The 25,299-nt window shown below is 50.0% G+C and overlaps 1 protein-coding gene across 3 annotated transcripts, besides 2 other annotated features; it reads left to right on the top strand.

Annotated features, from left to right (window-relative positions):
- Nucleotides 13,932-14,091: an enhancer, noted in NCBI's record as "active region_8148". NCBI's record gives its function as "activates an Ori minimal core promoter by ATAC-STARR-seq in GM12878 lymphoblastoid cells {active_cell/tissue: GM12878}" and the evidence as "EXISTENCE:reporter gene assay evidence [ECO:0000049][PMID:35858748]".
- Nucleotides 14,222-15,011: a silencer, noted in NCBI's record as "silent region_5592". NCBI's record gives its function as "represses an Ori minimal core promoter by ATAC-STARR-seq in GM12878 lymphoblastoid cells {active_cell/tissue: GM12878}" and the evidence as "EXISTENCE:reporter gene assay evidence [ECO:0000049][PMID:35858748]".
- Nucleotides 14,309-24,282, top strand: LRP10 (LDL receptor related protein 10). Of its 3 annotated transcripts, NM_001329226.2 has the most exons (8): nt 14,309-14,906; nt 15,307-15,351; nt 15,880-16,015; nt 17,624-17,814; nt 17,924-18,941; nt 19,258-19,387; nt 19,509-19,622; nt 21,768-24,282. In NM_001329226.2, the coding sequence occupies exons 1-8, from the start codon at nt 14,873-14,875 to the stop codon at nt 21,768-21,770; spliced, it is 1,671 nt and encodes a 556-aa protein (NP_001316155.1). In that variant the 5' UTR covers nt 14,309-14,872; the 3' UTR covers nt 21,771-24,282. The 3 variants fall into 3 exon arrangements, with proteins under 3 accessions (NP_001316155.1, XP_005267567.1, NP_054764.2); XM_005267510.2 differs by having other exon boundaries at nt 17,900-18,941; nt 19,509-24,282; NM_014045.5 differs by having other exon boundaries at nt 19,509-24,282.

The raw sequence follows: 25,299 nt of genomic DNA on the forward strand, positions 1-25,299 counted from the left end.
GCTGTGACAAACAACTAAAATGTAAGAATGACTTTGAAATTCGGCAAAGGGCAGAAGCTGGAAAGACTTTGAGAAGAGTGTTAGTGAAAGTCTAAAATGCCTGGACGCGACAGTTAGTAGAACCACAGTGGCCTCTTTTTTTTTTTTTTTAAAGACAGGGTCTTGCTATGTTGCCCAGGCTGATTTCAAATTCCTGGCCTCAACTGATCCTAAGTCACTGAGATTATAGGCACAAGCCACCATACCCAGACATGATGGTCTTTGAAGAGGCGGCCAGTGAAGACTTAAGGAAAGTGAGGAAAATGTGTTTTAAAACTGGAAGAGGCCGGGCGCGGTGGCTCACGCCTCTAATCCCAGCACTTTGGGAGGCCGAAGCAGGCGGATCACGAGGTCAGGAGATTGAGACCATCCTGGCTAACACAGTGAAACCCCATCTCTACTAAAAATACAAAAAATTAGCCAGGTCTGGTGGTGGGCACCTGTAGTCCCAGTTACTCGGGAGGCTGAGGCAGGAGAATGGCATGAACCCGGGAGGCGGAGCTTGCAGTGAGCTGAGATCGTGCCACTGCACTCCAGCCTGGGCAACAGAGCAAGACTCCATCTCAAAAAAAAAAAAAAAAAAGAAAGAAAAAAAGAAACTGGAAGAAAAAGGATTCTCGTTATTCAGCAAGTTTAGCAACTATAGTTAGTGTGTAGTAACATGGAAAGTAAAAAATGTAATTAATGAATGGGAAATCTAGCTAAGGAGATTTTCAGGGAGAATGTTGAAGTTAACACCTGGTTTCTTCTTTGCTGCTTATAGTAAAGTGCGAGATAGATAGCTAAGAAAAAAAAATACCACTTAAAAAGAGCCAGGAGGCCGGGCATGGTGGCTCACGCTTGTAATCCAGGCACTTTGGGAGGCCAAGGCGAGCAGATCACAAGGTCAAGAGATCAAGACCATCCTAGCCAACATGGTAAAACCCCGTTTCTACTAAAAATACAAAAATTAGCTGGGCATGGTGGCGCTCACCTGTAGTCCCAACTCTCGGGAGGCTGAGGCGGGAGAATCACTTGAACCCAGGAGGCGGAGGTTGTAGTGAGCCGAGATCTCGCCATCGCACTCCAGCCTGGCGACAGAGCAAGACTCCGTCTCAAAAGAAAAACAAAAAGAGAGCCAGGAATTTTTGGATTTTAAAATTCTCAGCCTCTCCAGACAGTAAATGATGTTAAATTTTTTAAATAGCTTCTGGGCAAGTATCAAATTCAGGGCACTCTCAGGAAAACATGGTATAAAGACAAAGCCAAGATTGAGTGTAACATGCTTTGTTAATATCAGAAGGATCTAAGGTGGTACTCAGGAAACCATTTAGTCTAACAATATGGTTTTTGGGGTTTTTGGTTTTTGGTTTTGGTTTTGGTTTTTTTTGAGACAGAGTCTCACTCTGTCACCCAGGCTGGAGTGCAGTGGCATGATCTTAGCTCACTGCAACCTCCGCCTCCTGGGTCCAAACAATTCTCCTGCCTCGGCCTCCCGAGTAGCTGGGACTACAGGAACGTACCACCATGTCTGGCTAATTTTTGTATTTTTAGTACAGACAGGGTTTCACCATGTTGGCCAGGCTGTTTCAAACTCCTGACCTCATGTGATCTACCCACCTCGGCCTCCCAAAGTGCTGGGATTACAGGTATGAGCCACAGCACCCAGCCTAACGATATAGTTTTTAAGAATCTTAAGAGCCAGGCATGGTGGGTCACACCTGTAATCCCAGAACTCTAGAAGGTCGAGGTGGGAGGATTGCTTAAGGCCAGGAGTTCAAGACCAGCCTGGACAACATAGCATGGTCCCATCCTACAAAAAAATTTTTAAAATTAGTGGGCATGGGCCTGGTGCGGTGGCTCCCAGCACTTTGGGAGTCCAAGGCAGGCGGATCACAAGGTCAGGAGTTCATGACCAGCCTGGCCAATATAGTGAAACACTGTCTCTACTAAAAATACAAAAAAATTAGCCGGGCGTGGTGGCACATGCCTGTAATCCCAGCTACTCGGAAGGCTAAGGCAGGAGAATTGCTTGAACCCAGGTGGTGGAGGTTACAGTGAGCCAAGATCACGCCACTGCACTACAGCCTGGGCAAGAGAGTGAGACTCCGTCTCAAAAAAATAAAAATAAAAATAAAAATAAAATAGTGGGCATGAAAGTATGCACCTGTAGTCATAGCTACTCCAGAGGATGAGGCAGGAGAATAACTTGAACCCAGGAGTTCTACACTGCAGTGAGCTATGATTGTATTATTGTACTCTAACCTGTGTGACAGAGAAAGATCCTGTCTCTAAAAAATTTTAAAAAGAAGCTATGGCTGGGCGCGGTGGCTCATGCCTGTAATCCCAGCACTTCCGGAGGCCAAGGCGGGCAGATCACAAGGTCAGGAGTTCGAGACCAGCCTGGCCAATATGGTGAAACCCTGTCTCTACTAAAAATACAAAAATTAGCCAGGCATAGTGGCAGGCACTGGTAGTTCCAGCTACTCAGGAGGCTGAGGCAGGAGAATCACTTGAACCCAGGAGGCAGAGGTTGCAGTGAGCCGAGACTGCGCCACTGCACTACAGCCTGGGTGACAGAGCGAGACTCCATCAAAAAAAAAAAAAAAAGAAGAAGCTTATGAGTGTTGCCCCTCAGCAGTCTAAACTGAAGCCTGAGTTAGAAAAGAGTTTATCTCAAAGAGATTTGTGAGTACAACTTTTATCTAATTGAGTGAACCCCAATAAGATTTAATGGAGATTCGCAAAAGTTTTAAGAAAATTGTATTGGCAGAAATGCTACCAGCTTGTATTGAAACAGATAGAGGGAATACAAAATAAGAAGAAGTTTTTGGACCCCCAAACTTTTTTTTTTTTTTTTTTTTTTTTTTTTTTTTCAGATGGAGCCTCACACCCTGTCACCCAGGCTGGAGTGCAGTGGCATGATCTTGGCTCACTGCAGCCTCTACCTCCTAGGTTCAAGTGATTCTCCCACCTCATACTCCCCAGTAGCTGGGATTACAGGCGTGTGTCACCATGCCTGGCTCATTTTTGTATATTTAGTAGAGACGGGGTTTCACAATGTTGCCCAGGCTGGTCTTGAACTCCTGACCTCAAGTGATCCACCTGCCTCGGCCTCCCATAGTGCTGGGATTACAGGCATGAGCCACCATGCCCAGTCTTGACCCCCACACTTCTGCAGCAAAAGCAGGCTGAGAAAACAACACAGCTGCAAGCATGAGCCTTTCTATAAAAAGGAAAGGTGGCTCAGAGGGCAGAGCACAAAGAGCCCAAAGCTGGGGCCAAGAGCTATGAGAAATTATGCTCAGATCCTGAGCTCTACTCAAGGAACAGCCAACCTGTATCCTTCAGTATTTTTCTATAGAATAGAGACTACTTCCTATGTTTATTTATCCTTTTTTTTCCCTGCCCCCAGGGACCTCTCTTTTTTTTTTTTTTTTTTTTTTTCCGAGACGGAGTCTAGCTCTGCTGCCCAGGCTGGAGTGCAGTGGTGCAATCTTGGCTCACTGCAAGCTCTGCCTCCTGGGTTCATGCCATTCTCCTGCCTCAGCCTACCAAGTAGCGGGACCCTGTCACCATGCCCGGCTAATTTTTTTGTGTGTTTTTAGTAGAGACGGGTTTTCACCGTGTTAGCCAGGATGGTCTTGATCTCCTGATCTCATGATCTGCCCACCTCGACCTCCCAACGTGCTGGGATTACAGGCATGAGCCACTGCACCTGGCCTTTTTTTTTGAGACAGAGTTTTGCTCTTCTTGCCCAGGCTAGAGTGCAAAGGCATGATCTTGGCTCACTGCAACCTTTGCCTCCCACATTCAAGCAATTCTCCTGCCTCAGCCTCCCAAGTAGCTGGGATTACAGGCATGTGCCACCACGCCCAGCTAATTTTGTATTTTTAGTAGAGACGGGGTTTCTCCATGTTGGTCAGGCTGGTCTCGAACTTCTGACCTCAGGTGATCCGTCTGCCTTGGCCTCCCAAAGTTCTGGGATTACAGGTGTGAGCCATCATGCCCGGCAGACCTCTCTCTTTTTGTGAATAGAAATATTTGTAGAGGTAATCCTATGCTTTTCCCACATCTCATCATTGTATGTTGGTGATGGAGGAGTAGGACAGGGAATATGAGTTCTCTTTTTAGTTCATAGGTCTTCAGATCAAGAAGAGCTACTCAAGGAGCTGTACATAGGAATTAGTCCAGAAGAACCTCACCTGGAGGCCTGTTTTAGATGACAAGATTCTGGACTTCAAGCTGATTTTGTAATGGGATGAGACTTTTGAGTCCCTTGGGAGGGTTGAACAGATTTGCATTTGTGAAGGACATGAACCTTTGGGAGCCAGAGTGTAGACTAGTGTAGACTAGCATAGCCAGCCTTCAGGATGGACCTCAATGATCTTTACCTGTCAATATTTGTGCTTTTGTGTAATCTCCTCCTACAATGCATAGGGCAGACCTGTGTTACTAAGGGATATTGCAGAAATGATGGGGTGTGCTTTCTGAGACTGAGTGTTAAAAGCATTGTGACTTCCACCTTGCTCTCTCTTACATTGCCCATTCTAGGGGAAGCCAGCTGCCATGTTATGAGGACACTCAAACAGCTTATAGAGATGCCCATATGGGGAGGAACTGAGGCCTCCTGCCAACAGCCAATACCTACTTGCCAGGCACATAAGTGAGCCATCTTGGAAATGGATCCTTCAGCCCCAGTCAAGTCTTCAGATGACTGCACCTTCATGAGAAACACCAAGTCGGAATCACCCAGCTAAGTTACTTCTGAATTACTGACACACAAAACCTGTGAGAAAATAAATGGTCACTGTTTTAAGCCCTAAGTTTTGGGGCAATTTGCTATGCAGCAATAGATAACTAAAACACTAATATTAGCATCATCCTTACTTTATACATGGAGAAAATTGGGCATAGAAAAGTAAAAACTTGCCAAGTTCATTCACCTGATAAATGGCAGTACTGGCCAGTTCTGCTTCTCTAATATGTTAGCTTTTATGCAACCACGCCATGCTAATTCATTCAGCACCAGCAGAAATCTCTAATCTGTCAATTAAATTTATTTGTATTTTTATTTTTTGTAGAAACAGGGTCTTGCTATATTGCCTAAGCTGGTCTCAAACTCCTGTCTTCAGGCAGTCCTCTGACCTTGGCCTCCCAAAGTGCTGGGATTACAGGCATGAGCCACTGTGCCTGGCCCCTAGTTTTTATTATTTTATTTTATTTTATTTTATTAATTTTTGAGACGGAGTTTCACTCTTGTTGTCCAGGCTGGAGTGCAATGGCGCGATCTCAGCTCACTGCAACCTCCGCCTCCCAGGTTCAAGCAATTCTCCTGCCTCAGCCTCCCAAGTAGCTGGGATTACAGGCACACGCCACCACACCTGGTTCATTTTTGTATTTTTAGTAGAAACGGGGTTTCACCATGTTGACCAGGCTGGTCTTGAGCTCTGGACCTTAAGTGATCCACCTGCCTCAGCCTCCTAAAGCACTGGGATTACAGGTGTGAGCCACCGTGCCAGGCTCCTAGTTTTTATTTTTAAAGAAGGGGTCTTGCTATGTTGCCCTGGCTGGACTCAAACTTCTGGGCTCAAGAAATTCTCCCACCTTAGCCTCCCAAGTTTCTGGGCTTAATTCCTCTTTACATAAACAATAATTAAGCTACCTGTCCTTTCTGTAAGTTGGTGTTTTTAACCTAAGTTGTAGGATTTTGCAATTTTTTTTTTTTTTTTTTTTTGAGGCAGAGTCTCGCTCTGTTGCCCAGGCTGGAGTGCAGTGGTGCCATTTCGGCTCACTGCAAGCTCTGCCTCCTGGGTTCATGCCATTCTCCTGCCTCAGCCTCCTGAGTAGCTGGGACTATAGGCACCCACCACCACGCCCAGCTAATTTTTGTATTTTTAGTAGAGACGGGGTTTCACCTTGTTAGCCAGGATGGTCTCGATCTCCTGACCTCATGATCCGCCCACCTCAGCCTCCCAAAGTGCTGGGATTACAAGTGTGAGCCATCGCGCCCAGCCTGAATTTTGCATTTTTATCTCCTCTGTCATCGTAGATCTCTCAGATCCATCATCCTAGGTTGTCAAAATCTTTAGATTCCTTATTTTGTCTTCTAGCTCCCAATTCCAATTCATGTCATCTTAAAATCTAATTAACTCTTATTCTACATCTTCATATAATTTTGTTTTTTTTTTTAAAACAAGGTCTTACTCTGTCACCCAGTCTGGAGAGCAGTGGCTAATTTTTGTATGTTTTGTAGAGATTGGGTTTCACCATTTTGTATAGGCTGGTCTCAAATTCCTGAGCTCGAGCAATCTGCCCACCTCAGCCTCCCAAAGTGTTGGGATTACAGGCGTAAGCCACTGTGCCCGGCCTTAATTAATTTTTGTATATGTTGACTGGGACTCTGCAGATTGACATCAGTTTTGATGTGTGCATTATGAATACCTATTTCAACTTGAGGGTACTAATCGTATTATCATTCAGCCCATATTTTCCTATTGGCTTAAATCTAGATAGTCTATGTTTATGGTACTAAGTAATACTCCCAAAAAAGAAATTGATTTGTACTTTTATTTATTTTTTACTTTTTATTTATTTATTTATTTTTTTGAGATGGAGTCTTGCTCTGTTGCCCAGGTTGGAGTGCAATGGCGTGATCTTGGCTCACTGCAACCTCCGCCTCCCAGGTTCAAGCAGTTCTCCTGCCTCAGCCTCCCGAGTAGCTGGGACTACAGGTGCCCGCCACCACACCCAGCTGATTTTTGGTTTTGTTTGTGTGTTAGTTTGTTTATTTTGAAACAAAGTCTCACTCTGTCGCCAGGCTGGAGTGCAGCGGCGTGATCTCAGCTCACTGCAACCTCCGCCTCCCGGGTTCAAGCGATTCTCATGCCTCAGCCTCCCAAGTAGCTAGGATTACAGGCACCCGCCACCACACCCAGCTAATTTTTGTATTTTTAGTAGAGACGGGATTTCACCATGTTGGCCAGGCTGGTCTCAAACTCCTGACCTCAGGTGATCCACCCACCTCAGCCTCCCAAAGTGCTGGGATTACAGCCGTGAGCCACCACGCCCGGCCTGTATTTTATTTATTTATTTTTTTGAGACGGAGTTTCACTCTTGTCACCCAGGCTGGGGTGCAATGGCATGATCTCAGCTCACCACAAACTCTGCCTCCCGGGTTTAAGCGATTCTCCTGCCTCAGCCTCCCGAGTAGCTGGAATTACAGGTGCCCGCCACCATGCCTGGCTAATTTTTTTGTATTTTTAGTAGAGACAGGGTTTCACCATGCTGGCCAAGCAGGTCTTGAACTCCTGACCTCAAGTGATCCGCCCACCTTGGCCTCCCAAATTGCTGGGATTACAGGCATGATCCACCGCACCTGGCCAGCTAATTTTTATATTTTTAGTAGAGACGGGAGATTCACCATGTTGGCCAGGCTGGTCTTGAACTCCTGACCTCATGATCTGCCTGCCTCGGCCTCCCAAAGTGCTGGGATTACAGGCGTGAGCCACCGCGCCCAGTCGATTTTTATTTTTAATTAATTAACTTTTTTCTTTTTGAGATGGGGAATGCACCCAGGCTAGAGTAAGGTGGTGGGATCACAGCTCTCTGTAACCTCGACCTCCTTGGTTCAAGTGATCCTCCCACCTCAGCTTCCCAAGTAGCTGAGATCACAGGCATGTGCCACCATGCCTGGATAATTTATTTTTATTTTTTGTAAAGATGGGGTCTCCTTATGTTGTCCAGGCTGGTCTCAAACTCCCGGGCTCGAGCAATCCTCCCACCTCAGCCTCCCATAGTGTTGGGATTACCGGCATGAGCCACCACCCCCAGCCAAGAATGATTTTAGAATGATGTGTCTAGTTGGTGAACTATGCCAGGTACTAGTGATGATTACCTCCATGGGTCAGAATCTGGTCAGGTAAACAATCCATAACAGTTAATTCAGTAGAAGAAATGTAACAAAGAACGAGAAAAATATGATGAAATTGCTAAAAGTCCAAAAGGAGATGGTGAGGTAGCCCAGAGATAAGCAACAGCAGGAAGCTGGAGGAACAAAGGGAGGAGGTGGTGTCACCAGCACCTAAGAAGCCAGGCTACCCAGTGGGAACTAGAACCATGGAAGATGCACGGCTGCTGCTAAAGACAAAGCTGAGGCAGAGGGGATGGGGCCCGCCCTGGGTCCTCCTTCCCTGCCTCCCCTCCAGTCTCCCACTAGTGCCTCCTGCTGGCTGAATCTACCCCAAAGTCACTTGGCCAGAGAGCCTGGGAAGTGCAGTTTGCAGGAAGAGGCAGCAGGATTAATCTGAACACAGACAAGTAAATGACTGGCATCCATTCTAGAAATTAGCCAGGTGTTAGATTCCTTGCTCTGAAGATTCTAGAATCTACCATGTTTAACAGCAAGGCCTCTGATTCAGACAGCTTATGTCTTGGCTCTTGCAGATGCTAGTAGTTTGATCTTGAGCAAAGTGTCAAACTGTCTATTTCCTCAATTAAAAAATGAGGACAAAAAATAACACCTACTTCCTAATGTGGTCAGGATTAAATGAGATAATGTATGTGAAGTGCTTAGAACCGTGCCTAACATATGGTGAGTCCTCTATAAAAGTTAGATATTATCATCTTAAAAACTAAACATCAGCCAGGCACGGTGGCTCACGCCTATAATCCCAGCCCTTTGGGAGGCCAAGGCAGGAGGATGGCTTCAGGCCAGCAGTTTGAGATCAGCCCGGGCAATATATCAAGACCTCATCTCTACAAATAAATAAATAGAAATTTAAAAATAAACATCTGTCCATTTCCCACTACTTTCACTATTTTTCATAGTTCCTCAAAGATTTCCAAGAATATTTCCACAGTCCCATTCCCAAAGGTACTTGATCATTTAGGATATGATTTTTATGGGCCTGAACACTGAAACTCACTAAGCTAATTAAAGCTTAAACTCATTATAAAGACCTAGGTCGTCTTGAATTTTTCCCTCATCTTTTTTTTTTTTTTTTTTGGCTTGCATTCAATCTTGAATATTAACTCCCAGTGTCTGCCACAGTGTCTTGCACTTGGAAGGCACTTAAATATTTACAGAATGAAAGTGTGTTCTGCCTGGGTGCCATTTATTCCTGATGATGATTATGCCCAACAGCACAGGTCTTGACTATTTTCTGCAAATTTCAGTTTATTCAGCATTCCAGACCATGGGTTCTCTTCCCCCTTTCTTCACCCCCATAACTCTTCCCATCTCACTACCACCTTTCCTGCTTCCTTTCCAAACTCCTACTCCCTGAGATGCCCATTCCCATGGGTACTCCCCATGGCTGTCTGGCATTGTTAATTTATGTATCTGATCTCTCTTTCCAACTAGACTGTAAGCTCCTTGAAGCTAAAGTGAAGTCTTAAGAATTCCAGGCATCCAAAAAGAATATAGCCAGTGCTCAGCTGAAACTTCCGTGACCACTTTTAGGACATAAACATTTTCAATTTCCCCAACCTCTTTGCCCTGCTTCCTTTTGCATCTGCCTCTCACCTTCAGGGTTCTTTTTCTTTTCTTTTCTTTTCTTTTCTTTTAATGGGGTCTCACTCTATTGCCCAGGCTGGGGTGCAGTGGTGCAGTCTTGGCTCACTGCAGCCTCAACCTCACGGGCTCAAGCAATCCTCCCACCTCAGCCTCCCAAGTAGCTGAGACTACAGATGCACACCACCACATCCAGCTAATTTTTGTATTTTTTGTAGAGACGGGGTCGTACTATGTTTTCCAGGCTTGTCTCAGAACTCCTGGGCTTGTCATTTATAGTTATCCCAATCCCAATCTGCATGAGATTCGAGAGATTAGCTTCAGGATCCCTGAAGATATCAAAAATCCCTGGCTTCCACCTTCACAGTTCTATTCAATCTTCTCATTAATCTTGGGAGCAAAGAGAGAGTTAGGGCGTGGGACCAAGGTCCAAGTGGAAGAAGAGCCTTTTTATGGCCAACTCTATGGTATCAGGCCCAACTAAGGCCCTACAACAATAAATGTCATTAATAGAAAACTCTTCTGAGTCTGGGTGCGGTGGCTCACACCTGTAACCCCAGCAATTTGGGAGGCCAATGTGGGTGGACCACCAGAGGTCAGGAGTTCGAGACCAGCCTGGCCAACATGGTGAAACTCCGTCTCTACCAAAAAATACAAATATTAGCCGGGCATGGTGGCACGTACCTGTAATCCTAGTTACTTGGGAGGCTGAGGTGGGAGAATCGCTTTAACCCAGGAGGTGGAGGTTGCAGTGAGCCAAGATCGTGCCACTGGACCCCAGCCTGAGCGACAGAGTGAGACCCTGTCTCAAAAAAAAGCAAAAAACAATCAAACAAACAAAAAAGAAAACTTCTGGCTGGCTTGTTACAGTGGTGTTCACAACTAGTTGATCACAATCAGTTACAGATTTCTTTGTTCCTTTTCCACTCCCACTGCTTATTTGATTAGCCTTTAAAAATAATAGGGCCGGGGCCGGGCGCGGTGGCTCACGCTTGTAATCCCAGCACTTTGGGAGGCCGAGGCGGGTGGATCACGAGGTCAGGAGATCGAGACCATCCTGGCTAACACGGTGAAACCCCATCTCTACTAAAAATACAAAAAAATTAGCCGGGCCTGATGGCGGGCGCCTGTAGTCCCAGCTACTCGGGAGGCTGAGGCAGGAGAATGGCGTGAACCCGGGAGGCGGAGCTTGCAGTGAGCCGAGATTGCGCCACTGCACTCCCGCCTGGGCGACGGAGCAAGACTCCGCTCAAAAAAATAAAAAAATAAAAATAAAAATAAAATAATAGGGCCGGCCAGGCGCAGTGCCTCACACCTATAATCCCAGCAATTTGGGAGGCTGAGGCAGGCAGATCACCTAAAGTCGGGAGTTCGAGACCAGCCTGACCAACATGGAGAAACCCTGTCTCTACTAAAAATACAAAAATTAGCCAGGAGGGCGTGGTGGCACATGGCTGTAATCCCAACTACTTGGGAGGCTGAGGCAGGAGAATTGCTTGAACCTGGAAGGCGGAGGTTCTGGTGAGCTGAGGTCGTGCACTGCACTCCAGTCTGGGCAACAAGAGCAAAACTCCATCTCAAATCAAATCAAATAAAAATAATAGGGCTGAATGCAGTGGTTCATGCCTGTAATCTCTGCACTTTGGGAGGTCAAGGCAGGTGGATCACTTGAGGTAAGGAGTTCAAGACCAGCCTGGTCAACATGGCAAAAACCGTGTCTCTACTAAAAATACAAAAATTATCCAGGCATGGTGGCAGGCGCCTGTAATCCCAGCTACTTGGGAGGCTGAGAATCACTTGAGCCAGGAAGGTGGAGGTTACAGTGAGCTAACATTGTGCCACTGCACTCTAGCCTGGGCAGTGAAGTGAGACTGTCTCAAAAAAAAAAATTAAATATAAACAAATAAATAAATAGGCTGAGTGGAGTGTCTCATGCCTATAATTCTAGCACTTTGGGAGACCGAAGCAGGAGGATCACTTGGCCCAGGTGTTGAAGACCAGCCTGGGTAACATGGTAAACCCCATCTCCACAAAAGATACAAAAATTAGGCCAGGCACAGTGGCTCATGCCTGTAATCCCAGCACTTTGGGAAGCCGAGGTGGACGGATCACAAGGTCAGGAGATTGAGACCATCCTGGCTAACACAGTGAAACCCCGTCTCTACTAAAAATACAAAAAATTAGCTGCCATGGTGGCATGTGCCTTAGTCTCAGATACTTGGGAGGCTGAGGCAGGAGAATCGCTTGAACCCAGGAGGCTGAGGTTGCAGTGAGCCAAGATCGCGCCACTGCACTCCAGCCTGGGCGACAGAGCAAGACTCCGTCTCAAAAAAAAAAGATATGAAAATTAGCCCGGCATGGTGACACACGCCTGTAGTACTCAGGAGGCTGAGGTGCGAAGATCACCTGAGCCCAGGAGGTTGAGGTTGCAATAAGCCAAAATTGTGCAACTACACAATTTTGTAGAGTGAGACCCTGTCTCAAAAAATAAATTAATTAAAATTAAAAATTAAAATTGCCGGGCGCAATGGCTCACGCCTGTAATCCCAGCACTTTGGGTGGCCAAGGCGGGTAGATCACCTGAGGTCAGGAGTTCGTGACCAGCCTGACCAACATGGTGAAACCCCGTCTCTACTAAAAACACAAAAATTAGCCCGGCGTGGTGGCACATGCCTGTAATCCAAGCTACTCGGGAGGCTGAGGCATAAGAATCGCTTGAACCTGGGAGGTGAAGGTTGCAGTGAGCCGAGATTGCGTCACTAAACTCCAGCCTGGGCAACAAAAGTGAAACTCTGTCTCAGAAAAAACAAAACAAAACAAAACAAAACAAAAAACTATTTTATATCATTTGTAGAGGGGAGAAAGTGGTTAAGATCAGAATGTGCACTCTGTCCAGAGCCAGATTCCCTGGGTTCAAACCCTAGCTTCATGGCCGGGCGCAGTGGCTCACACTTGTTAATCCCAGCACTTTGGGAGGCCAAGGCGGGCGGATCACCTGAGGTCAGGAGTTCGTGACCAGCCTGACCAACATGGTGAAACCTGGTCTCTACTAAAAATACAAAAATTAGCTAGGCGTTGCGGCGCGCACCTGTAATCCCAGCTACTTGGGGGGGAGGGGGCGGGGGAGCTGAGGTGGGAGAATCGCTTGAACCCGGGAGGCAGAAGTTGCAGTGAGCCGAGATCGCACCACTGCACTGCAGCCTGAGCAAGACTCTGTCTCAAATATACATATAGGAATAGTCAATATACTTTATTGTTTAGGGAATAATGACAGGGAAATAAATTATGTACATATTCAAAACAGATGCGGCTGGGCGTGGTGGCTCACGCCTGTAATCCCAGCACTTTGGGGGGCCGAGGCGGGTGGATCACCTGAGGTCAGGTGTTCGAGACCAGCCTGGCCAACATGATGAAACCCGTCTCTACTCAAAATACAAAAATTAGCCGGGCATGGTGGCAGCGGGCGCCTGTAATCCCAGCTACTCGGGTGGCTGAGGCAGGAGAACTGCTTGAACCCGGGAGGCGCGAGGTGGAGGTTGCAGTGAGAGATCACGCCACTGCACTCCAGCCTAGGCGACAGAGCAAGACTCCGTCTCAAAAAACAAACAAACAAACAAAAAAAAACAGATGCAATTCCACTCAATTCCCCCAACCCCACCCCTGATAATATTTTCCATCTACGATCAGTTAAATCTGCGAATGCAGAACCCAAGATATGGAGGGCCCACTGTACTAGATCTTGGGCAAAATACTTAACTTTTCTGTGCCTGCATTTCTCGGAATACCTTGGAAATTGGAAGTAATAATAGTATGTACCTCACAGGGTTGTTTAGAGGATTAAACCCGCAAATGCTTGTAAAGTGTTAATGTATTTAGTATATACTAAAATAGTTCCTAAGTATTTAGTAAAGTGCTTACTTAGATCTGTGCCTGAAAAGTGGAAAAATCTAAAATTGTTTGCTATTTGTTGTGTTTATTTTTTCACTGAAAATTCTGAGCTTCAATATTGTTTATTAATGTTATCTATCAGTGCCACAGGAAATCGGTAACCTCCAGCTCACACAAATTAGAAACACCTTCTGTGACTGATAATAATAGTTGCTACCAGATATGGAGCACTTCCTGTATGTCAGGGAACTTGCTCTCCTTAAATGTTAGCAACAACCTTAAGAGGAAGTTGCACTATCATAAGCCTCATTTTATACCTGAGGAGAACAGAGAGGTTAAGTAATTTCCTGGAGGTCACAGCCAGCAAATGGAGAAGGCGTACTTATTCATTTATTTACCATTTATTGAGTTCTTCCTGTGTCTCAGCAGGAGAGAAGCCCTGTAGGTGCAAAGGTAAACAGTCTAGGCCCCAGCCTACGGGAAGTTTCAGTTTGCAGAGAAGGGGCGGGGCGGGGGCGGGAATGACGAATAAATAGTTACCGTACCGTGTGGTAATAGCTGTAATAAAGTCTCACTCCGAAAAGTGCTGCCGGATCTCAGACCCTGGGACAAGAAAAGTACTGAGAGCTTAGGGCCCAAAGGAAAGACATCACAGTTATGGAATAAGCAGACGTCCTTTGACAAACGTGTGACAAACATATGACAAACATGTCCTGTAACGACAAACGTGTTACACCCCAAGGATTAAACAAAGCAGGGTTAAATGTGGAAGCTGAAGCTGCAAGTCAAGGGCCCGTCTGACAAGTCCGGCAGGGCCGGGAAAGGGGTTAAGGCGAGCAAGTGGGTGTGGCCCGTGCGTTGATTGGCAGGGGTGGGACCGGGCTTGTCACCCGCCCCGGCTACTCCAACCCCTGGGCGGGCGGGGGTACCGCCTGGGCAAGGGCCGGGGCGCCGGGCCGAGCCACCTCTTCCCCTCCCCCGCTTCCCTGTCGCGCTCCGCTGGCTGGACGCGCTGGAGGAGTGGAGCAGCACCCGGCCGGCCCTGGGGGCTGACAGTCGGCAAAGTTTGGCCCGAAGAGGAAGTGGTCTCAAACCCCGGCAGGTGGCGACCAGGCCAGACCAGGGGCGCTCGCTGCCTGCGGGCGGGCTGTAGGCGAGGGCGCGCCCCAGTGCCGAGACCCGGGGCTTCAGGAGCCGGCCCCGGGAGAGAAGAGTGCGGCGGCGGACGGAGAAAACAACTCCAAAGTTGGCGAAAGGCACCGCCCCTACTCCCGGGCTGCCGCCGCCTCCCCGCCCCCAGCCCTGGCATCCAGAGTACGGGTCGAGCCCGGGCCATGGAGCCCCCCTGGGGAGGCGGCACCAGGGAGCCTGGGCGCCCGGGGCTCCGCCGCGACCCCATCGGGTAGACCACAGAAGCTCCGGGACCCTTCCGGCACCTCTGGACAGCCCAGGATGCTGTTGGCCACCCTCCTCCTCCTCCTCCTTGGTAAGAACCGAAACGATACCAACCCCCAGCCTTCTGTCACCGGGCCAGCAGCTCTAACTCCCTCCAGTGCGGCCCCGCACTCTATCCTGCCTGCCCATTCCCCCCAGCCCCTGCCGCCAGCCCCAGCACTGCCGGCCCCAACCCCCAGGAAGTCTTCAGCTGCTCCGCTGGGCCCTGGTCCTCTCTCCGGCTTCCCCTAGATCACCCCACCAACCCCACAAGGCCCTGCTGCCGGACCTTCCTTCCATGGAAGTCCCACGCCGCAGCCCTCTCCCGCCCCCCACTCCCTCTTCCGATTAACTGCCCGGAAGTCCCGGATGGCTCCCTTGAGTTGCTCAGGTGAAGAAGAAAACTCCTAAGGAGTGTCTCACGCTCCTGCCCTTTCTCGTTCCTCCTCTAGGAGGCGCTCTGGCCCATCCAGACCGGATTATTTTTCCAAATCATGGTGAGTTGAGGGAACCTCTGGGGCTCCGTGGGCTTGGGAATGAGGGAGCAGTCGAGAAGGACTCTCTGTTCCCTGAATTCCATGGGACCTACCAAAGTTTTAGAGGGGAGATAATTTAGCCTTTATTTATAGATAAGGAAGCTGAGGCTCGGTGTGGACCTTCATCTGGTAGTTGCTATGTACTATTTTATTTTTTCTGGGAATATCTATGCTTGATCGTCCTAACCAGGATGTAGTCTCCCTGAGGGTAGAGGCAGTATTTCCTGCTCCTCCTGGTTCAGTGGCTGGCACAAAGCAGACGTCAGAATTGTTCGTGATATTAGTATTTACTGGTGAAGCTATGAAGAATGTGGAGAGAAAGAGCGAAGCTAGAAGGCTGTAACTCTAGGCTGTGTGTGGGCAGGGGCAGATACTCTGCTCCTCCTTGCAGAGCCCAGACTTTTGGAAACCTCAAGCCTCCAAGCGGAAGGGGAAGGGTGGGATGCAAAGGGGCTGTCTACTACCCGTGTCCTACCTTCCTCTCTCCAGCTTGTGAGGACCCCCCAGCAGTGCTCTTAGAAGTGCAGGGCACCTTACAGAGGCCCCTGGTCCGGGACAGCCGCACCTCCCCTGCCAACTGCACCTGGCTCATCCTGGGCAGCAAGGAACAGACTGTCACCATCAGGTGAGAAGCAGAACAAGAGCAAGAACCCATTCTTCTCCCCTGCCCCTTCCCCTCCATTGGAAGTCTTCAGGGATCACTTCTTTTTTTTTTTTTTTGAGACGGAGTTTCACTCTTGTCACCCGGGCTGGAGTGCAATGGCGCGATCTCAGCTCACTGCAACCACCACCTCCCGGGTTCAAGTGATTCTCCTGTCTTGGCCTCCCGAGTAGCTGGGATTGCAGGTGCCCGCCACCATGCCCAGCTAACTTTTTTGTATTTTTAGTAGAGACAGGGTTTCACCACGTTGGCCAGGCTGGTCTTGAACTCCTCACCTCAAGTGATCCACCCGCCTGGGCCTCCCAAAGTGCTGGGATTAAAGGCATGAGCCACTGGGCCTGGCCCATTCAGGGATCACTTCTCTATGGAATTTCCATCCTTGTCAACAGGTAAAGAGTAGAATTTGATTTGGCCTAGTGTGCCCTAAAAGTCTGACTTTTTCTGGGTCAGACTCAGTGAATTGAGGTGGAGCTGGGCTGGAGTGGACATCTAGCTTGAGTCCTGCGCATCTCCAAAGGACAGAGGCCCCTCTGCAAACGGTCCTCAGCTCAGATAGAACTGTTCTGAAGAGTCCTTCCATTCATTGCATGTCCTGCCTGAGATTCAGAACTACTCCTTAATCAGCTTAGAACATCCCTCAGCCTCTCTGGATCTTTTAAACATTCCAAGTCACCCCAGGCTCCCCTGACCTTGGTCATTGTTTGGGGATCATATTAAGTACCTGGCTGTTTGCCTCACATAGTTCATTTTCCATGAATTTACCCAGAAAGGGGTAGGCAAAGAGAGAGGGCAATCTGTGGAGAGGCTGGTGGGGCAAAGGGATCAGAATGCCATGGAGAACCAATCCAGGTCTCACATCTGGCACAGTGGGGTGGGATAAGATGGTGAGTTCTGGTTAATTGAACTGTATGGTAATCACCAGTTACTGCTGGTACCATACTTGGGTGACAGTGCTACAACAACTGGAATGCAGTGCACCTCTTCTTAACTCAGTCCCAGAACACAAGTCAATTTTTCCAAAGGGCTCTAGGATATATTTTATGGTCTCATGGCGATACCATGAGGTATTCCTACCATGTTAGGAAGATCCCCATTGACTACATTGACTTAAAAATAATTTGGCTGCCGGGCATGGTGGCTCACGCCAGTAATCCCAGCACTTTGGGAGACCAAGGCGGGTGGATCACCTGAGGCCAGGAGTTCGAGACCAGCCTGACCAACATGGTGAAACCCCATCTCTATTAAAAATACAAAATTAGCCAGGTGTGGTGGCGGGCACCTGTAATCCTAGCTACTTGGGAGGCTGAGGCAGGAGACTCACTTGAACCCAAGAGGTGGAGGTTGCAGTGATCCAAGATCACACCATTGCACTCCAGCCTGGGTGACAAGAGTGAAACTCTGTCTCTAAATAAATAAATAAATAGGCTAACTGAGTTTTCATTTGGCCATTTAGATCATGGATAAGCAGATGTTTATGCTTCCTGGGACACAAGGGGCCTGGTGGCACCAGGGGAGGAGAAAGCCAGCAGCAGTCAAGAGTATCTCATGTCCTGCTCTCCTCTACTCCCATAGGTTCCAGAAGCTACACCTGGCCTGTGGCTCAGAGCGCTTAACCCTACGCTCCCCTCTCCAGCCACTGATCTCCCTGTGTGAGGCACCTCCCAGCCCTCTGCAGCTGCCCGGGGGCAACGTCACCATCACTTACAGCTATGCTGGGGCCAGAGCACCCATGGGCCAGGGCTTCCTGCTCTCCTACAGCCAAGGTAGGCTGGACAGGGATGTCTGAGGAGCAGGCAGTGAAAGCCCCAGGCAGAAGGGGAGGATCCTGAGGGTTCTGGTGCTTCACAGCCCCTCTCCATGGTGCCTCTGCAGATTGGCTGATGTGCCTGCAGGAAGAGTTTCAGTGCCTGAACCACCGCTGTGTATCTGCTGTCCAGCGCTGTGATGGGGTTGATGCCTGTGGCGATGGCTCTGATGAAGCAGGTTGCAGCTCAGACCCCTTCCCTGGCCTGACCCCAAGACCCGTCCCCTCCCTGCCTTGCAATGTCACCTTGGAGGACTTCTATGGGGTCTTCTCCTCTCCTGGATATACACACCTAGCCTCAGTCTCCCACCCCCAGTCCTGCCATTGGCTGCTGGACCCCCATGATGGCCGGCGGCTGGCCGTGCGCTTCACAGCCCTGGACTTGGGCTTTGGAGATGCAGTGCATGTGTATGACGGCCCTGGGCCCCCTGAGAGCTCCCGACTACTGCGTAGTCTCACCCACTTCAGCAATGGCAAGGCTGTCACTGTGGAGACACTGTCTGGCCAGGCTGTTGTGTCCTACCACACAGTTGCTTGGAGCAATGGTCGTGGCTTCAATGCCACCTACCATGTGCGGGGCTATTGCTTGCCTTGGGACAGACCCTGTGGCTTAGGCTCTGGCCTGGGAGCTGGCGAAGGCCTAGGTGAGCGCTGCTACAGTGAGGCACAGCGCTGTGACGGCTCATGGGACTGTGCTGACGGCACAGATGAGGAGGACTGCCCAGGCTGCCCACCTGGACACTTCCCCTGTGGGGCTGCTGGCACCTCTGGTGCCACAGCCTGCTACCTGCCTGCTGACCGCTGCAACTACCAGACTTTCTGTGCTGATGGAGCAGATGAGAGACGCTGTCGGCATTGCCAGCCTGGCAATTTCCGATGCCGGGACGAGAAGTGCGTGTATGAGACGTGGGTGTGCGATGGGCAGCCAGACTGTGCGGACGGCAGTGATGAGTGGGACTGCTCCTATGTTCTGCCCCGCAAGGTCATTACAGCTGCAGTCATTGGCAGCCTAGTGTGCGGCCTGCTCCTGGTCATCGCCCTGGGCTGCACCTGCAAGCTCTATGCCATTCGCACCCAGGAGTACAGGTCAGTGGGAGTGGGGCTGGCAGTAGAAGAGTAGACCCTGAGGGTGAGGCTGGGCTGTGCAGCTACAGGAGACCACGAAAGTGCCCACCTTGGGGAGAGGCTCCCATGATCAGCTTGTCAGTTGTGTCCTGTAAGGGACAGGTCCAGATCCTGAAAGCAGTTTCAAGGGAGGAGGGACCTCAGATGACCTTTGGGAAAGCCATGGCACAGCTCCAGCTGGCCTGGCCCGGGTGTGGAAGTGGGAGGACTGTCCAGGCTGAGGTGGTCTACTCTGGCCGAGAACTACCAGTGACTGAGCAGTCCTCATTCCTTCTAGCATCTTTGCCCCCCTCTCCCGGATGGAGGCTGAGATTGTGCAGCAGCAGGCACCCCCTTCCTACGGGCAGCTCATTGCCCAGGGTGCCATCCCACCTGTAGAAGACTTTCCTACAGAGAATCCTAATGATGTAAGTCACTCCCCACAACCCTAGCACCTCCTGGTCCCAGTTCTGCTGTGGCCCCGCCCCTGTACCCTCCTTCATTCAGCCTTTGGCCCTCTGACTCTGAGGCCTCCTCATTTCCTTGCAGAACTCAGTGCTGGGCAACCTGCGTTCTCTGCTACAGATCTTACGCCAGGATATGACTCCAGGAGGTGGCCCAGGTGCCCGCCGTCGTCAGCGGGGCCGCTTGATGCGACGCCTGGTACGCCGTCTCCGCCGCTGGGGCTTGCTCCCTCGAACCAACACCCCGGCTCGGGCCTCTGAGGCCAGATCCCAGGTCACACCTTCTGCTGCTCCCCTTGAGGCCCTAGATGGTGGCACAGGTCCAGCCCGTGAGGGCGGGGCAGTGGGTGGGCAAGATGGGGAGCAGGCACCCCCACTGCCCATCAAGGCTCCCCTCCCATCTGCTAGCACGTCTCCAGCCCCCACTACTGTCCCTGAAGCCCCAGGGCCACTGCCCTCACTGCCCCTAGAGCCATCACTATTGTCTGGAGTGGTGCAGGCCCTGCGAGGCCGCCTGTTGCCCAGCCTGGGGCCCCCAGGACCAACCCGGAGCCCCCCTGGACCCCACACAGCAGTCCTGGCCCTGGAAGATGAGGACGATGTGCTACTGGTGCCACTGGCTGAGCCGGGGGTGTGGGTAGCTGAGGCAGAGGATGAGCCACTGCTTACCTGAGGGGACCTGGGGGCTCTACTGAGGCCTCTCCCCTGGGGGCTCTACTCATAGTGGCACAACCTTTTAGAGGTGGGTCAGCCTCCCCTCCACCACTTCCTTCCCTGTCCCTGGATTTCAGGGACTTGGTGGGCCTCCCGTTGACCCTATGTAGCTGCTATAAAGTTAAGTGTCCCTCAGGCAGGGAGAGGGCTCACAGAGTCTCCTCTGTACGTGGCCATGGCCAGACACCCCAGTCCCTTCACCACCACCTGCTCCCCACGCCACCACCATTTGGGTGGCTGTTTTTAAAAAGTAAAGTTCTTAGAGGATCATAGGTCTGGACACTCCATCCTTGCCAAACCTCTACCCAAAAGTGGCCTTAAGCACCGGAATGCCAATTAACTAGAGACCCTCCAGCCCCCAAGGGGAGGATTTGGGCAGAACCTGAGGTTTTGCCATCCACAATCCCTCCTACAGGGCCTGGCTCACAAAAAGAGTGCAACAAATGCTTCTATTCCATAGCTACGGCATTGCTCAGTAAGTTGAGGTCAAAAATAAAGGAATCATACATCTCAAAATTTTGCAAATTAGCTGCGAGCCTGAGCCCCGCCTCTGCCCATCTCAGTCTATGCTCACCTCATCCCACTCCTCCCTGTGGAGCCCTTTGCTTGGCCCTCTACCTCCTGCCCTCTTCCTGTTCATCTCCCAACCACTGCACTCTTGATTTTTATACCACACAGAAGGTAAGAAAATTCTAGGAACCCTAAGGATCAATCCTCTCCATTTTCACTCAAATGCCTGGGGCCCAGCTCTGCAATGACTGACTCCAGGGCCTCTTTCCTCACTGCCAGCATAGAAGTCAGGGGAGCCAGCTGGGCCCTGCGGTCAGGAAGGTTCTCATTTTTGGAGCATACCCTGAGCCCAGATCATAGGAGCAGCTGTCCCTGGTGGGACACAGGAGTCATGACTCCTACCCTCCACCCTCCACACCCACCAGGCATTTAGCAGTCTGTCCTATGCAAGACAGATGAATTCTCAGCCAGGATACCTCAAGGCAGGCAAAGGTGAGTGGAGGGAGAATTCACAAACATTCAGGGTGTGTGGTGCTGGCATCACCATGGCCAAATCCAAGAGGTCTTCCTGGAAGAGGGCCCAAACTGGAACCAAAAGAATGCTGTCAGCAGTTGGAATAGAGCTGTGAATTCTAGACAGGGGGAGTGTCCCCAGAACAAGCAAACGGAGGAGACAAGAGGGCAAGGGTTATAGGAAAGACCCTGGGCCTGAGAGCACAAGCAGCGGCCAGAGCTGCAGCGCTGGGGTGGGTGATGGAGGGAATGATTCGCAAGCAGTGTTGGAACCCAGCCCCTAGTGAGCAAAGTGACAGAAGCTGCCCCAGAGTTTGGAAGGAAGATCGAGGCAGAAGATGTAGAAGGAAGCTGTGGGGGTGGGAGTGATGCCTCAGGAACAAAACTGAGGAATTCCCTAACGGACCCAGTCCCTGGGGAAAGAGGCTCCCCTCAGGCTCTCCTTGTCTAGCCCCACACCTGGCAGAGCCTGTCACCCAGCCTAGCCCCACGCCTGGCAGAGCCCATCACCCAGCCTAGCCCCACACCTGGTGGAGAGGCCCTGTTGATTACACCCTGTCAGCCTCCTCAAACCCAGCACTAATTGCACAATTTTCCTCTCTTCTAGTGAGCAAGAGCCTGAGGAAGTAGCAGAGAGGGGTGTGGGCCCATGTGCAGTTCTGGGACCCTGGCACCTTGGCTCAGGGAAGACCCGAGCTCCTTTCACTGCAGACCCTCTCCAGAGACTGGGGAGAGGGCTCTGGAGAACCTGGTTCTTGCTTACTGTTCTCCCTTTGGGCCCTCCTTCCCAAACGCAAACAATCCAGGATCCACTCAGCGTCAGGCCCAATGGAAATAGTGAAGCAGTGATTTTCCCTCCCCTGCCTCTCCATAGCCTGGTCTTTTGCCCTCTCCTTTGCTCTTCTCTTCCCCCATAGCCACCTCAAATACCTGCAGCCTGATATCTTCATCCCTTCATCCAGACCTTTTCTCTCCTAGTGGTATTGCAAACTGAAAGTGGACAAAGACTTAAGGTAAACCTGCTCCTCATGGTGGAATGCTTCCAAATGCTGGAAGGAGGACTTTAGGGCAGAGTTCACTAAGGAGGCTTGTGCTTATAGATCAGTGGGCCTGAAAGAAGTTTCTCTAGGTTCTGGTTGTGTGCTGTACGAGGTGTAGGTAGTAATAATACTCTTGTCAGCCACAGTGAAGCCCCAAGCTAGCCGGGATAGGGGACTGACCTTGTACAGGCAGCATGGAGAAACTAAGACAGAGTGTCCTGCCCAAGTGATGGCACTGGGGAGCAGTCACTCAGGTTTATTTCCACCAGGGCCCAAGAAAAAAAGAAATGAGGCAACCTAAAATTCCATCAAGATAGATACCAATATCCAAGGTGCTTGGTCTTAGCGGTGTGGGACCCACGTTAAGGCTCTTGGTGGGAAGGTGGGAGGTGTTTTCAGCATGAGATAGGGTTCAGGCTGTGAATCAGAGTCTAGAGCCTAAGATAAAAGAAGATACCAGGGCTGGGCCACGGTGGCTTTCGCCTGTAATCCTAGCACTTTGGGAGGCCAAGGCAGGCAGACTGCCTGAGCTCAGGAGTTCGAGACTAGCCTGAGCAACACGGTGAAACCCTGTCTCTACTAAAATACAAAAAAGTAGCCAGGTGTGGCGGCATGCACCTGTAGTCCCAGCTACTCGAGAGGCTGAGGCAGGAGAATTGCTTGAACCCGGGAGGCGGAGGTTGCAGTGAGTGGAGATCGCGCCACTGCACTCTAGCCTGGGTGACAGAGCGAGACTCCTTCTCCAAAAAAAAAGAAAAGAAGATACCAGAACTCAGTCCTTAAGAAACAAAATTCTGCCAGGCGCAGTAGCTCACACCTGTAATCCCAGCACTTTGGAGGGGCCAAGGCAGGCGGATCGCTTGAGGCCAAGAGTTCAAGAACAGCCTGGGCAACATGATGAAACCCTGTCTCTACCAAAAATACTAAAAATTAGCCAGTCTCACAACCTGGTCTCAAAATAAATAAATAGATTTAAAAAAAAAATCATGGGCCTGAACCAAGCTCCAGACCTCACTAGGAGGGGAGAAGGACCCCCCAGCCACACAGCCCAAGGCTGCAGAAGCACCTAGGTGGTTAGAGAGTGAGTGCCTGGATGGGGCGCAGTGGCTCACACCTGTAATCCCAGCACTTTGGGAGGCCGAGGCAGGCGGATCACGAGGTCAAGAGATCAAGACCATCCTGGCCAACATGGTGACACCGTGTCTCTACTAAAAATACAAAAATAAGCTGGGCATGGTGGTGCGTGCCTGTAGTCCCATCTACTCGGGAGGCTGAAGCAGGAGAATCACTTGAACCTGGGAGGCAAAGGTTGCAGTGAGCTGAGATCGCGCCACTGCACTCCAGCCTGGCAACAGAGCGAGACAAGACTCCATCTCAAAAAAAAAAGTGAGTGCCCGATGATGCCAGATTCTTCATCACCTGAAGTGAACCCACACAACAGGGCTGGGCCATGGGCATCATAAACCCCATTTTGCAAGCTCAGGAGGAGCTTTAGGGAAATCAGAAGACTGGCCCAGTCTCTACCAAGTGGTGGATTTAGAGCCGGCATGGCTTCGTTCCAAATCTCACCCTTGTCCCACCATTCCATGGGACCTCCCATTCCTGAGGGAGCCTGGATACGGGCAAGTGCACAACCCGGGAGGTTGAGGTTACAGTGAGCCATGATCGCACCACTGCAGTCCAGCCCGAGCAATAGGGTGAGACCCTCCCTCTGAAAAAAATAAAAATACTCATTTTGGAAGGAAGTCATTCTAAAATGTTACACTTGTCTTCAGCATATCTGCAATATAATAATTTTCTGCATAACTGAGGATCATTCACAGAAACCAATGGCTTTTCTCCAGCAGTGTCTTCTGAAGTTGTAACAGTAGGGGCACGGGGAGCTATTTGCTTTTATGCTAAATGACCTTAGACCACTTATAAAATGCATATGAGTGCTTTAAATGTTATTTTGTGTGTGTGTGGTGTTGCCTCCCTGACTACAAGGGGTCACTTGCTACTCTAAATGTGTTTCTAATCTACTAGTACAGGAACACACATGGACACGTTAAAATTGTGAATAAAAGTAAGTAAAAAGTAAAAGTAAGTAGGCCATGACTGAGGACTGGAGAATCTACCCAGTGAGTAAAGCACAGGAGTATTTTAGCAGCTGAGGGGTCCTTTCTGCTCCCTCAAACCCTGCACTGTTGCCCTATAGCTGACCTCCAAATAAGTGAAGTGTCACTGCACATTGTTCCCAAGATTATTCTTTGCCTCTTCCATTGGAAGAGTCCACTGAGGATAGCAATATAGACTGTTCCCAATAATAGGAGACAGTTGGAATATTTAAGAGAAGGAAAGCTGCACAATGTAGAAATGAAAAATCCTTGGCACTGGAAAGATGTGGGTGGGATTCCTGGTGTTCCCATTTTCCAGCTGCAAGATTGCTTTAGGGACGGGGCACCCACCTACCACTGTGGGCCTTGGGCTCAAGAAGATGAAAGGAGATAATGCAAGAAAGTACTTAGCACAGCATCTGGCAAAAACGGGGCAAGGAAAGGAAATCGGAACGTGTGTCTGGGAGCTTAAGGGTGTCAGGAAGGAGGACAAGAAGGAAAGGGGCAGGAGAAGGAACCTGAAGGGAAAGGGAACTGGGCAGAAAAAGAACGGTAAAAGAGATGTGCTATCTGGGCTTCCTACAAACAGGCAGACATCACCCATTGCGTACCTGCCTTGCATAGCCCAGAAGGCCTGGCAGCTGCACCAAAAAAACATTAACAGTGGGTAGGGGAGTTGGGGGGTAGCTGGCACTCCCCCTTCCCCACCCACTTAAGATTGGGAACCTCGTGTTTGAGATAGCTAGCTTTGTCTCACCCTTTTTTCCTGCTCTGATTATCGTTAGCTTGGTGGGCCTGGCAGGGAGAGAAGGTGGAAGAGTCTCCACAGTGGTTTGCCCCTACCTGAACTTAGTGGCAAAATGAAGCTGCCCAAATGAAGCAGCTGAATTTCCTTCCTCAGAGCCCGCATCTGCCTAGGGGCTGGGAAATGAGTACTTTCGTGGCTCTTAGCCCAGAAGAGGCAGGGTGGAGAAGGAAAAGGTGGCAGGGTGGCTGACCCTCA

This window comes from Homo sapiens, chromosome 14, assembly GCF_000001405.40.
Source record: "Homo sapiens chromosome 14, GRCh38.p14 Primary Assembly".
Classification (NCBI taxonomy): domain Eukaryota; kingdom Metazoa; phylum Chordata; class Mammalia; order Primates; family Hominidae; genus Homo; species Homo sapiens.